The 14,950-nt window shown below is 43.2% G+C and overlaps 1 protein-coding gene across 2 annotated transcripts in view, besides 1 other annotated feature; it reads left to right on the top strand.

The window, feature by feature from the left end:
- The window catches only part of XKR6 (XK related 6), a 305,789-nt gene that overhangs the window by 94,889 nt on the left and 195,950 nt on the right, over window positions 1-14,950 (top strand). The gene's annotated exons all lie outside the window — the stretch shown is intronic.
- Window positions 14,320-14,409: a silencer, noted in NCBI's record as "silent region_18921". NCBI's record gives its function as "represses an Ori minimal core promoter by ATAC-STARR-seq in GM12878 lymphoblastoid cells {active_cell/tissue: GM12878}" and the evidence as "EXISTENCE:reporter gene assay evidence [ECO:0000049][PMID:35858748]".

Genomic DNA, 14,950 nt, shown 5'->3' with positions numbered 1-14,950 from the left:
AGTAGAATAGATGTGGGCTGAAGGATCTGGGTTGTCTAAGGTTTGCCTGTAAACATTTTGTAACGTTGTATCTTTTTTATTTTTTTTTTTTTTTGAGATGAAGTCTCACTCTCTTGCCCAGGCTGGAGTACAAGTGGCATGATCTCAGCTCACTGCAACCTCCACCTCCTGGGTTCAAGTGATTCTCCTGCCTCAGCCTCCTGAGTAGCTGGGACCACAGGTGCCCACCACCATGCCCAGCTAATTTTTTGTATTTTTAGTAGAGACAGGGTTTCACCATATTGGCCAGGCTGATCTTGAACTCCTGACCTCAAGTGATCTGCCCACCTCAGCCTCCCAAAGTGCTGGGATTACAGGCATGAGCCACCGCGCCCGGCCAGCATTGTATCTTAAAGGTAGCCTTTCAGTTGTTTGGATGACAGTTGTCTCCACTGGACATCTGCTTCATGCCAGGCCCTCTCCTGGGTGTTGGTGTGTCCACTCTTCCCTCCAACCACCATATTCCCTTGAGGCCAGGAATGGACCTAAGGGTGCCTCAGGCATGGGAAGACCCGATACCGGCCTCTCTGGAGCTCGCTGGCTTCTGGAGTTCTGAGTTAAGGAGGTAGTTGAAGAGACCCATGTATGACCCCCAGATGCCAGTAAAACTAATCATGTGCAGGGAAGGTGGTCACGTCAATAAGATTTTGAAAGCAAGATTCATCAAAAAATAGGCCAGATTTGCAGTCCCACATGAACCTGCATTGAACCCTCATTGACTATCCAGGTATGTATTACTTTAAAAAAATAAAAACTAACATAACCTTAAAACATATTAGCAAATTTCCCTGACACACTGAAAGTAGGATATTATTCTAAAATTTTTCCTTTATGTATGTAGCTTTTTAGAAACCCTACAAATGTGTTTTGTGTAAAAGGATGTAGTCTGCAATCATTTTCTGACTCTTGGTGTAATAAAAATTAAGTGGCCTAATTATTTAAAAGCTTGTCGTTTGAAATTATTTTTTGAGAAACAGTTTAAAGCATGATACTATTTTTGCTTTTCATGTAATGTATAAGTATTCGCAGAAGCTGCTTGTATATGTTTGTGTTCCATGTATGAAAATGTTGTAAACAGGGTCCATGTATTTCCCCAGTGAGAGTTGCTGATCTTTTGGCTGTAATTACCAAGTGCTTGAGGTTGGGGTGGCTGGAAATGAATATCAAGCTTTTCGGTGCCTGGAGCCAACTTTGTCCAAATAAAAGAGCTTTGTACTGTGAAGGAATTTTACTAAGTAAATTTTGTTTAAAAAATCCACGTGAATTAAAGGAAAGGAAATGAAGAAGAAGATCGTATCAATACGATGATCTAAATCAGTGTTCTGCAACTTTTCTACCCAGTCATCAGTGGGAGTGAATCAGTAGGAATGTGGGGAAGGGAGTGAGGGGAGACCCCCTTCTTGACTCAGCAGTGGTGACGGTCGGTGTGTCCTGCAGACCTGAAGCCAAGATCAAGGGCGCTTGAGCACCAGGAGCCCCCGCAGTTCCTGAATGACCAGCGGAGGGCAGGTGCCAGCCTGTGGCAAAATAGGAAAGAAAAGGACAGGATGGGGACTTCACCATTTTTTTCAGCCTTAAATTGTTCCTTAAACCTTCATGTCCTTTTCTCTAATGTATGTTCTTGTTTGGTAAAATAAAAAAGTTTGTAACCCTGAGTTCTCTAAAGATATACATTCTTTTTTACTGGTTTGTGAAGTCAGAAGGATGAGAGCTGCTATTTCTTGGAACCGTGCAATAAATATTAGCATATTCAGTCTCAGTTCTGCCTAGAGGACCTATTTGCTTTTCTTTATCTCGTAACCCATAACTCACAGGACATTAACCAGGGTGTCCAAGAACAGTCTGGGAAAGTTTTGATAATTACTTCAGCATTGCTGTGTGATGGGAGACATTGTTTTAAAAACCGAATGTGGTAGAGGTTAAAAGGACAGCCGTCACCATCCTGTTTCAACCAACGCTTGACTGAGAACTCTTTCTGGAAATCTCTCGAACAGACTTCCAAAAGTTATATGTGAAAAAGCACTGAAACCTCACATAACGCAAAGATCCACTGCAATACAGGCATTTAGGAAATCATTTACACTACCTTGCTGATCACTTTTCACACTTGATCTTAGCCAAAAGGCCAAGAAGCGATGTGGATAACTTTTCAACCTGTAAAATAGCCACCAATCTGCAAAAAAACTAATTGAACACTAATAAATGACCAAAATTGATGCAATGGTTATAACTGGTATTATTTTTATTTCTGATCATCTACAATATCAAGTTTAAGACTGACTGTATATGTCACAGTTTTGTGTGATTAACTACTTTTATTAATTGTCTTTAAAGAACTGCACAAAAGCGCCCTGAAGGAAGAGAAACCAAGGATGAATCCATGAGGGATTCGGGCTGTGTGGCGATTGCCTTCATTTTCCCAGTGGAAGGACATTTTCCAGAGAAATTTATGCTGAATACCCATTTTTATATCTCGCCCGATTGAGTGCCAATCACTGTGCCAAGGGCTGTATATATACTGTGTCAAGGAGAAAATTTCCAAGAAAGATACTGAGATTTCTTCCTTGGCCTATTTAAAATTGGGGTTGATACTCTTCCTCAATGGATGCCGGCAGGCAGGAAGTTCAGAGGAAGTCAGTGATCTCCAGTCAGATTCACAGTTCTCCAAAGTGTGTCCTTTTATTTCCCAGGATCTTGCAAAACTCGTGCTGAATTGCTCATTAGGGAAAGCTTGCCATACGCTACATTAAGTGTTTCCCTTAGAGACGTTTTCTTAGGAGGCCCGACATTGAATTATTAAACCCTGGGCTATGATTAGTGAGGCAGACACCTGCTTTCTGTATTCTGTGGGACTTGAAAGCAAGAATGAAATTACTGAATAAAATGAAATTGGTACGAGGGATATTTTGGACTTCATTTGCAGTATTACTCCGCATCTCCTCCCAAGGGTACGACAGCTGTCAGCAATGGCTTTTAAATTCCGCAACAGTGGAAGGCATTACTTTGCCATTAAAATTTTGAATTGAATTTATTTTGAACATTCCCAATTTTGCAGCAGAGAAAAGATGCTAAATCAATACTTATTGAAATGATTTTGCCTAAAATATGACATGATCAAAAATTGTGTCGATTTGCAGTTTTGTATTTTGAAGAGAAAGCACAAGTTTTTGACTGGGTACCTTGACACAGAAGCAGGGAGTTTATCTCAGTCTCCCTCCAAAGCAAGCTCCATTTTTAGTCAAATAGTATCTCAGAAGTTCTCCCTTAGGAATTAGGATTTTCTTTACTACTTGAATGGTTCTCAGTGACCCTTTACAGCCCCATTTTGACCTTAGAAACCCACATCACAGAATGGATTAGCATGCCATTTTAAAAGCCCCATTTGTGGAATCTAGAAAATATTGAGATCATTGTCAGGTAGTTTTTCCACTTTCAGAAATAAAGAATTACCTTTCCAAATGCGAGCAACTATGTGGCTCTGGGACAGCTCAGACTGTCTCCCTGAGTTCTTGTGGGGCCTGATTCAGCTGGTCTCTGGCTGGGTGGCTTGATTGAACTCCTGAATGTTTGAATCTCTTCATGATTTTAGGAAGTTTAAGGCAGGTGTTGGAGCATTGCTTTTCACACTACCAGCATAAGCAATTCCTGTGTCTTTTTTGTTCATCTCTCTAGGAAGTCACTGTAACAAATTGTAGTTTCTGTCTTCTCCCTGGATTTTATTTTTTAGATTTATCTGTGTAAATTGAGATTAAGTAGGATTAATTCAGTAGCTGCCATTTCTTCTAAAATTAAAAAAACTGCCATCAGCAACTGATCTAAAACTCCATCTTACACTAGTGTTATGTATAATATATCAATCTTAAATTCTGGCAAAAAAATGAGAATTTGGTCTGAGTGGAGTAAAAGACTGCATAAAAGCCGTTTCTCTAATCTTTGTGTGCCTGGTCTTTGCCTCCAACCTTCCTGGCTGTCTTTCCTCATGAGGTTGATGACCACCTTATAGGTTTGAAACTCAGAGCAAGAATAAGAAGGCAGTGATGGAAGGGAAGTGTCCAAGGATGGGGTGAAAATCCTCCAAATGCAGCCAGTTCTGAGCTAGGGACAGGCAGTGTTGGTTTCTCTCTAGGTTTTCATGAATGCTGAGCACTGCACATTAACTCTTCCCATGTCAGCTCTGTCCCTCCTCATCTTCCTCTTGCCTGATGGAAACTTTGAATGCTGAAGTAGCCTTTCAGTGGCACGAAACTGTTTTAGCACACTTACACTGGTGCCTCGGTGGGCTTCCGGTTGTGAGTGGGCAGAATTTTCCATAGAGTTAGGTTCTGCTGAATTATTGAAAAGATCACATTTCTCAACAATTGGTGTTTGTCCCCTTCCATTCTTGCTTCCTGTCTGTCCCCACCTTTTTCAGAATGAGAGTACAGCAAAATTGTCTTCTCAGAGAGCTATTCGGTAGGGGAACTTGAGAAGCACAGTGCAGCTGGACATAATGTTTAAGTAAATTCTTTATTTTTGCACATTGATGATGCTTACTAGACTTCAGGCACTGTTCTGGGCTCTTGGGAAGCAAAAGACACAAAGCATGGAGTTGCCATTCTAGCAGCGGTAAACTAACGGCATAAATGAATTTGAATATGGGAGAGCTCATGGGAAAGAGCAGGCAAGTCCTCGGGATGCTGGGCTGGGATGGAGGGCAGGTCTCAGTATTCCAAGACGAACTTGCAGGGGAAAAGATGTGAAAAAGACGATGTTTATGTCAGTTGGGATTGACCCACAGGTTTGTCTTAAGGAAGAAAAGAACTGTTGAAATTTTTCAGCCAGTGACTGCTTTTCCAGCCACTCCTGGACCCATCCAGAAGCCCTCGCTGTTTCTAAATGTTGCTGGACACATCCTCCTCGTTTCTCCCGCTGTCATTCCTCTTTCTCAGATGGCATCCGTGACATTATTTATGGAGGTGGGCATGATTGTAACAAACTAGACTGCAAGATACAACACTAAAATTGTGGCGGGTCCGTAAGGGAAGGAGAGCGTTTCTAGATGGGGCCTTAAAGGGTGAGCCACATCCCTAAAGGGCTTAGGAGGACACTCCAGGCCGAGATAAACCCACAAACTAAACAGCATGAGGAATGGTGAGCAGGGTCAAATGCAAGGGTGCTTAGAATGCAGATCACGGAGGGCTGCAAACTTGATGCTAAGGAGTGAGAGTTGCACAGGAGAGGCCACTTCCATCTTCCAGGACTTCTCTCCTGTGAGAGTTTCCACCAAGGAGGGGGAAAATTCATTGGCTCTTGTGGATTCCCAGTTTTTAATCTCTGGCAGATGAGGAACAGAAGAGAAGGTGGTTAGTAAAAATTTCCTGTCTTCCATCTCTCCATCCTTGTTTTTCCAAAATTCAGACAACTTTTTATCATAAAAAATGACATAATTTGTAAATAATTTTAGAGAGTGCACAAAAATGAACAGAACAAAATTCACTAGGTCACTGCTGCTAATACTCCATTCATTGTCATTTCAGATTCCTTTGTTCTCAGCCGTGTACAGTGTACGTTATCCAATCACGGCATCTTTTTCAAGGCCGCTCTGCATGAATATAACCAGCTCCCTCTTGCTGGAAGTCCAGCAGTTTACAATTCTTGTTATTCAGGTTCTTTCCAATTTTTGACTCTTATAAACTCAGTTTCAATGACTCTCGTGTATAATTTCTGCACTTACCCAAATATCTCTTGCTATAAATTATGGACACTTTCAAAAATTGGGATGTCTGTAGCTGAGGTGCACAGTACTAGAATTCTGTACTGCAAATACTACCCGTGAGCATTGTGTGTGTGCACGTGTGTATGCTTTTCAAAGCGTTTTAGCGACAGCCTCTTTCGTCCGATGTGCGTGGTACCACTGCAGGGTGGGTAAGGGAGATGGAGGTCTCTCCAGGAGATGGGTGAGGAAACTGTCTCCTAACCACTTCCTCCGGCACCACCTGCCCATAAAGTGCATGCCCCCGGCAGCACCTTCCCATAAATCACATTTGCGGCCACCTTTCAAAGCACTGACTCGGAGGCCAACGCCAACAAAAGCTTTTGTAGCATAAAATGATTGGGACAAATCATAGCCAAACTAAAAACAGAACTTCCTACCTTCCTCCCCAGAAACTGCTTTGATTCCTAGTTCAATTAGCCTAATTAGGCAGATCAAAGAGACAACACATTTTTCTGAGAAGATGAGAATCATACAGCAAAATTCTGTTGTGTTTCTCAGTGTAGGAAGTTGCTACAAGGGTTAAGTGTGAATGCTGTCTTAGTTGTAGGGGAAAGCACCTTCTGGAAGTGGTCTGATTGGACTTGCACACTTACAGTTGCTCAGTGGTGGCCTTCTATCCGTGCCATCCTCCCAGCCACTTCGTGGTCATAAGATCTCACGATAGTTTGTAGACTAAATCATTGCGTACTAAACACAATGAGTGGAACACAAAGTCTTAATTAAGGACTCCGTGTCCCATTAGGTGGAAGGCTTGGATTAGGTGGAAGTCATAAATTCTATTCTTTTTTAAAAATGAGGCCAAGTGGATTGGCTCACACTTGTAATCCCAGCACTTTGGGAGGTCGAAGTGGGTAGATTGCTTGAGCCCAAGAATTTCGAGACCAGCCTGGGCAACGTGGCAAGACCCCGTCTCTACAAAAAATACGGAAAATTAGCTCGGCATGATGGCTTATGCCTGTAGTCCCAGCTACTTGGGAGGCTGAAGTGGAAGGATCGCCTGAGTCTGGGGAGGTCGAGACTGCAGTGAGCTGAGATTGTGCTACTGCACTCCACCCTGGGCGACAGAGTTAGACCCTGCCTCAAAACAAAACAAAATGAAAAGAAAAAAAATGAGCCCTACTTAAACTGGCTGCACCCCCTCTCCCTCCCAGCGCCCAACCCGCTAGGGTGCCCTACTCCCCCGTGCCTCAGGGCCCTTGCATTTGCTGCTCGCTTTGTCTAGGATGCTCCTCCCCATGTGCTTATGGCTCCATCTCTGCTAAATTGTCTCCTCCGCAGAGAGGGCTCTGCCCAGCCTGTCTAGAGTGGCACCTCTGCCATGGTCTCCCTTAACTTCCTCATCACCTCCATCATGACCTCACATTATAGTTTTGTCTCCTCCGCTAAATATATGCTCAGGGAGGGCAGGGGCTTTGTTTTGTTGGTGGCTGTTTTTTCAAGACCTAGAACAATGCGTGAGACACATTAGAAATTCAATACCTATATAATATTTGAGCGAGTGAATGAGTAAATCCTTCATTGCCCTTGCCTAGGGAGTTGCAAGGAAACTTGGAGATTTTAAAGAATGTGGATTTAGAAGTAAAGAAAGTAAAGGAGTTATGAAAAAAATCCAGCGACTGTAAGAGAGGAGCTGATCTCAGAGCTCGCTCTCCAGGCAGGGCTGCCCTGCCCAGCAGTGCCATTCCTGCCTCCAGCCCCTTCTCTCCCAGAATTTTCACTTGAAGCCAGAGCCTAAAATTCCCCCAGTTGGAGGTTGACTTGTGCTAATGATAAGCATCATCTTTTAAAAATGTTTTAGTAGATTCAGCCATTTAACAGGTATTTATTGGGCAGCAGCAATGGTGTGGCTATTGTGTTAGAGGCCAGGGTGACAAAAGTCAGCTGGACAGCCTTGCCAAGCTTCCAGATTTTCGATGTGACTTTGGTTGGACGATTGCCCTCCTGCTGTACCCAGCTAAGAGAAGAGATCTGAAGAAAGGAGATGTGGTTCAGTGGAGCGGGAGCTGTAATAGGGTGCCTGCCTCTTCCCAGGGAGGTGGCAGCTGCTGCTTTTTGGACAGAGGAGGGCGAAAATGGACAGCGTGCCTACCTGGTGGGGCGTTGAGGGTGCCCAGGGGCTAGGGAAGGGGGAAGAAGCTCATTATTCTCCTAGACTATACCCATAAAGAAAATTCTTATTAATACCCCTTTCTATGTTACACCTACATGAGCTCAATTCAGAACCTAATAATCATTTTTTTTTCCATGGGGGAATGTTCCAGAAGTTTCCAAGATGCAAAGTCTATTTAAAACCAACTTTTGAAACAGAACAGAATTTGTATTTCTCCCTCCTAGCCCCACTTAAGATTCAAAAGAAAGTAAAGCTTTTTATTCGTCCAAGAATGTGAATAGACTAATAGTTAAGGGAACAAGATTTCTAAGAGGTTCTTATCACTTGTGCAAGCAATAAATAAATTATTCAAAAATAAACTTTCCACATACTATAAAAGAGGTACCTTGAACCTTTCTGTAAGGGATATTTAATTGGAAACAGGAACATAATTCAAACATGCATGACCACATAGTCATCCTAGCCTATGGAGAAAGCTTTTCGGCATAGTTCTGATGAGACAAGAGTTCCTGTCCCAGTTGTGAAATTACCAAGATACAGTTCCAAATTGTGCTTTCTGACACCTCGTATTCCGTGAGTGAGAAGTACACACAGCATTAGTAGCGTCAGGAAAAACTCGAGACTGCTAAAAATAGGACCTCAAGTTCACCGAGTCCACTGGGTCCTCTTGCTCACGTACCAGCTCTTAGAAATAATGCTACCAGGATTGACAGGCCTCCAGCTCAGTCCTCAAACTTTGTGTGTGTGTGCGCGCGCGCCTGTGTGTCGTGCATGTGTGTGTGCATGCGTGTGTGTGTGTTGTGCGTGTGTGAGTGCGTGTGTGTGTGTGAGAGAGTCACCTGGGGATCTAGTTCAATTGCAGATTCCAATTCGGTATTTCTGGAGTGGGTCGTGGGATTCTGCCTTCCTAACAAGCCGGAAGTCGAAGCCAGTGCTGCTGGTCTGTAAACTGCAGAGCCTAGCAAGGCTCTAGCTTGCCAACAACTTTCACAACAGTGTATGCTGGGGGAGCCCCCCTGCAAAATTGCACCGGTTCCCAGAAATCACCAGTCTCACCAGTTGATATTACGTATTTGATGGGCATGTGATTATTTTTGACTTCCACGTGAATTCTCATCTTGCCTTAGATGTTACTAACACTATAGCAAATAGCTTTAAAAAAAAAAACTGTAGAATTTACGATGTATTTAGTAATACTTTACATTTGTATAATTTTTTTTTTTTTTTTTTTTTGAGATGGAGTCTAGCTCTTGTCCCCCAGGCTGGAGTGCGGTGGCGTGATCTTGGCTCACTGCAGCCTCCGCCTCCTGGGTTCAAGCGATTCTGCTGCCTCAGCCTCCCAAGTAGCTGGGACCACAGGTGTGCACCACCACGCCCGGCTAATTTTGTATTTTTAGTAGAGATGGGGTTTCACCATGTTGACCAGGCTAGTCTTGAACTCCTGACCTCGGTTGATACGCCCACCCCGGCCTCCCAAAGTGCTGGGATTACAGGTGTGAGACACCGCACCCAGCCTGTATAATTTTTTTAACCAATATTTATTGCCTTTTTTTTTTTAAAAAAAAAAAGAAAATATTGCCCTGTGTGTTCAGCAGTGCTGGTATTATCTACTTTTACACATAAGAAAATGGGTTCAAAGTGGCATATTGCTCAAGTTTATGCTGGAACCCAAGTTTTCTAACTTCTCGTGGAATGTTTGCATTGTACCAACTCTGGCTGCAGTATTGCATCCTGAATGTAGAAGTGGTGAGTGGGAGGGTGTGACGAAAATGACATTTCTGGAAACCCAATGGGGAAAATACACAAATACTTTTATTATCACTTTGTGTCTCTTGAGGGCTTATGAGTGGGACCAAGTGGGCTAAGGAGACAAAGTCTATATGAGAGTTCTTAGCCTTGCCATGTCAGATGGCAAGTGTCCTGTTGCTGATGACAAACTTACTTGACTATCTCTGAGGAAATCAGATTTAACTTGACTCTAGGCAACCTTCCATCTTCTGGATGGAACTGAAACTTGAGAACTCAGTGGCATTGATTGATGGAGCACACCGTTCTCATCAGATGGTACAAAGGATGTGCAAATCATATGCAAGTGGGCGAAATCTCTCAGAATCTGCCATCCTGAAACCAAATGTCTTCATTCCAGCTAGATTTTCATTTGGTGTTTGGGTGACATTCAGTGAGGTCTTGAGTATGCATATTCTTCATATGGTATTTGTTGAAAAACAGCTAAAAACTGCAATACAAAGATAAGAAGACACCAACATGGAAGTCAGTTGTAGACTTTGTCGGCTGGAGCCCAAGGACCCAGCTGTTGGCAGGAGGCCTGCCTGTCCTGGGTTGATGGGATGTGGGGCAAAGTGGACCTCATGGGGGCCTTTGACTCTCATGGTTACTTTTTCCAGGAAAAGGCTGCTTGACTAACATCGGTCCATCTTCCTTTTCCAAGCATTTGCCACTGAGGAGTGCAATGGTAGCATGGAAAGCTTTGATCCGTCTGATACCTTATTCAGTTCAGATACACCAATGCCTTCGTTGTGCAGTATTCTAATGGTGTTTTGTTAAAAACATAATACATGTTCACTGCAAAAAATTAGAAATTAAAGGAAACTGTAAAATTATTTTTATTATTAAAGTTTTGTAACCTACTCTTCCGTGTAAAACTATTTGAATGTTCCACCAAATTTTGAGATAAGATTTAAAAGTATTTGTTGACAAGTTGGCATTCCATCAGATGGATGCATGCCAGCTTATCCAGGCATCTGTTACTGATGAACTTTTAGCCTGTTTCTTATTATGTAATAGGTTATGCTGCAAGGAAGTATCCTTGTACTGAATCTTTGTATACATCTCTGCTTATTTCCTTAGGGTAAATACTGAGAAGTGGAATCACCAATTCAAAAGATATTTTAAAAATATCTGTTGGATGAATTATTAACTTTTGTCACTGGTACATATATTTTCCCTCATTTATTCTTTAGCTTTGTTGATAGCATTTTTGACATTCAGAAAAGTTTACTTTTATCTAGTCAAATTTGTCAAGTTTTTATTTTATGCTTTCTTCTGCTCTTGTGGTTAAAAATGTCTTCCCAATCCAAAAATAAAATGACAATTAAAGTTAGTTTTAATCATAGACTTAATTGGAAAACAGTGGAATTACTAATTGGCAGCAAGTGTTTTGAGGAACATACAACCATGAATTAAATGTGGTCTAGTCTTAACCAGATATATGCATCAGAATCACCCGTTTGAGCTTTTAAATGTTACCAGTGCCTGGGTCATATCCCAGATCCACTGAATCAGAAAATGTTTTTGAAAAAGACCTTCCATAAGCCCACAAACTTACAAAGGAGGAGAGCCAAGTTGCACATGATATATACATATATATTTTGGCTTGAGTTACTCATTAGATTTATTGGCATGGCGGGTGCGTTTTGTCACAGTCAGTACATCTGTTCACTAGGAGAATCAGGCTGTCATTCTAGCTTCCAGAAGAAAGGAGATTCAGAACAGTGTGTGCTGGGGGAGCCCCTGCAAAATTGCACTGGTGCCTAAAAGCACCAGTCTCACAAGTCAGTGTTACCTATTTGACTGGCATGTGATCATTTCTGACTTCCATGCTGATTCTCATGCTTGTCTTAGGTGTTACTAACACTACAGCAAGTAGCTTCTTAAAAAGAAAAAACTTAGAAGATACAATATATTTAAGAATACCTTACATTCATATAATTCTTAAAACCAAGATTCATTGCTGTTTGATATATAGCAGAATCTCATTTGAGATGGAGGGTTGACCTTGCAGATAATATTTGCAGTTTGGGGAAAGAAAGTCAACCAAAAATGTCCACTTACGTATTTGCACAAACTTGAACGCTACTCATGAGTTAATATTGAAAATACATCCCTGTTTCTCTAGCCTGGAGCTGCAGGCTTTCTCGTTAAAGATTTTATAAGGAAATTTGCCTTTGTATCAGCCTACTTTTTTTCTTTCCAACTTTTACTTTAAGTTCAGAGGTACATGTGCAGGATGTGCAGGTTTGTTACATAGGTTAGCATGTGCCGTGGTGGTTTGCTTCACAGAGCATCCCATCACCCAGGTATTAAGCTCAGCACCCACTAGCTGCTCTTCCTGATGCTCTCCCTCCTTCAGCCTATTTTTTAGTGGCATTCTGTGTTTTAAAGAAGCAGCAGTCAGTCTGCAGGAGAGGAGAGGGAAGGTGCAGGCAGGCCTGGGCTTTGGGTAAGTAACTTGGGAATCTTGGAGCCTCAGAAATGATGATGCTGATGATGACATTGACAATGCTGACGTTGATGCCACCCCAGAGGTCTGTGAGGATGATAGGTGTGGTCATCTGCCTAGTGTCTGGCTGCTAGTAACCACTCCATCGATGTCGGTCCCACCAGCCCCCAGTCTGTGCACTGCAGTGGATGATTTGAAGTGGGGTATTTGGGAGACAGAGGGTTCCCAGGAGAAGTCCCTTTCTGTTTCTGAGGTCCTCTGATCCATTTGAGAGGGAAATTACAAATGCCCCCAAATGAAAAGTAGATAATGGCCGGGTGTAGTGGCTCTGGCCTGTACTCCCAGCACTTTGGGAGGTTGAAGGGGGACGATCACTTGAGGCCAGGGGTTTCAGACCAGTCTGGTCAACATAGTGAAATCCCTTATCTACCAAAAATACAAAACATTAGCTGGGCATGGTGGTGCACACCTGTAATCGCTGGTACTCAGGAGGCTGCAGCAGGAGAATCGCTTGAACCCCGGAGACAGAGGTTGCAGTGAGCCGAGATACATACATATATATGTATATATCATGTGCAACTTGGCTCTGCTCCTTTGTAAGTTTGTGGGCTTATGGAAAGTCTTTTTAAAAAACGTTTTCTGATTCAGTGGATCTAGGATATGACCACGGCACTCCAGCCTGGGCGACACAGCAAGACTCTGTCAAAAAAAAAAAAAGGCCGGGCGCGGTGGCTCACGCCTGTAATCCCAGCACTTTGGGAGGCCGAGGCGGGTGGATCATGAGGTCAGGAGATCGAGACCATCCGGGCTAACACGGTGAAACCCCCATCTCTACTAAAAATACAAAAAATTAGTCTGGCGTGGTGGCGGACACCTGTAGTCCCAGCTACTTGGGAGGCTGAGGCAGGAGAATGGCGTGAACCCGGGAGGCAGAACTTGCAGTGAGCCGAGATCACGCCACTGCACTCCAGCCTGTGCGACAGAGCGAGACTCCATCTCAAAAAAACAAACAAAAAAAATTACATAATGTAAAGACCCTGAAGTATAAAGGGTAAATTTTGAATTATAGAGAGTACATTTATTTCTTATAAGAAATGAAAAAAGGGAAAGATAGGCGTGACTTGAAGTAGTTATTCACTAGTTTTTATATCCTTTTCCAATATTTAAGTATAAAATACTTAAACTAAATTTGAAGGCATCTTAGAGAATTTCAAGAAGAAGAAAAGGACCATGTTGCCAACATCTGGCTATTATAACTAAGAGACTAAGGATGTGGCCGGGCACTAAGTGCTGCTGGCACAAGACGCCACCCACAGTGGAGTGCGGGGAGCAGGGAAGCACCAGAACTGCTCGCAGAAAAGTTTTTCTTGCATAGCCATCTTCGTGCTAAGGGCAGTGGGTGAGGCTTTGACTTGAGATAAAAGCTGGGCTAGAAAGCTGGGGAAGATCTGGGCGTGGTGGCTCACTCCTGAAATCTCAGCACTTTGGGAGGCCGAGGTGGGCGGATCACCCGAGGTCAGGAGTTCGACACTAGCCTGGTCAACATGGTGAAAGCCTGTCTCTACTAAAAATACAAAATTAGCCGGGCATGGTGGCACACGCCTGTGTTCCCAGCTAATTGGGAGGCTGAGGCAGGAGAATCGTTTGAACCCGGGAGGTGGAGGTTGCAGTGAGCCGAGATCACACCATTGCACTCCAGCCTGATTGACAAGAGTGAAACTCCGTCTAAAAGAAAGAAAGAAAAGAAAAAGAAAGAGAAAGAAAGAGAAAAGAAAAAAGAAAAGAGAAAGAAAAGCAAGCAAGCTGGGGAGCAGGGTTGGCGACTGTGGGTAGTCAAGGGCTGCATGGTGGGCAGGAGGCCCTCAGCGGGGGTCCTGGGCCAGTTGCTCCAGGTCTCCTTGGCCCTCATGGCCTGCTGTAAGATGAGGCGGACTGACTGGTTGGATGGTTTGGTCTGTCAGGCCCCTTTCTGCTCCAGTCTTCCATGGCGAGAAACCTATTTATTGATTATTGCAGACCAGAAAAATTGAAAGAGGTTGAAAGGGATTCTGAGTTCTTTTCTGGCCAAGATTCCTCCAGAAGCCGGCAGAATGAGGTTCTTGATCATCATCCAGGGGGAAGAGTTTCTCTTTGGGCTTTACTCAGCCTTTCTTGCAGTCTCCCGGCTCTTGTTTGCAGGGCAGGACCATGGCCAGCTCCCTACGAACGTGAGATCAGCAGTTTCTCTTTCTAACCTTTATCACCCGGGATACCCCCTGTCCCCACTGCAGAGCTTTCACATCATGGCTTCCAGAGCATCAGATCTTTCCAGCCAGGGTCCTCACCTACCCCCCTAAACCTAGAGGGGAGTCTCAGGTCAAAGTGTTCCATTTGGGCTGCAAACTCCATATAATGGGTTGCAACCAGAATTCTAAAACTAAAATGAGTAAAATAAAAAGTACCATAGTGCTTCCAAGGTTGTAAGGATATGTATTATTTGCTAAAACATTTGCTCACTTCTACATTCATAAGTGCGTGTGTGTGTGTGCGTGCACAATGAGTTGCAGTGAAAAATACATTTCTTACTCTTGAGTTGTCAGAAGAATTTTAAAAGCAATGAGTTCACAGTCCCTTATCGCAAACCTGAAAGTTTTAAGTTTGGCATGAGGTCATTTGGCAGCAAAACACAACCTCATGTAATTTAAGATTATTTATACTCTTTGTTTATCTCACTTGCTATGAACATTTGTATGCTTAACTGCAGAATGGAGTTGTACCTTTGACCCCAGTGGGTGTGTTACACTTGATTACTTTTCTAAGGGCGAAA

The sequence above is a fragment of the Homo sapiens genome, chromosome 8 (genome assembly GCF_000001405.40).
Source record: "Homo sapiens chromosome 8, GRCh38.p14 Primary Assembly".
Classification (NCBI taxonomy): Eukaryota; Metazoa; Chordata; class Mammalia; order Primates; family Hominidae; genus Homo; species Homo sapiens.
The sequence above is the reverse complement of the archived record's forward strand: the minus strand, read 5'-3'. Positions and strand labels throughout refer to the sequence as shown.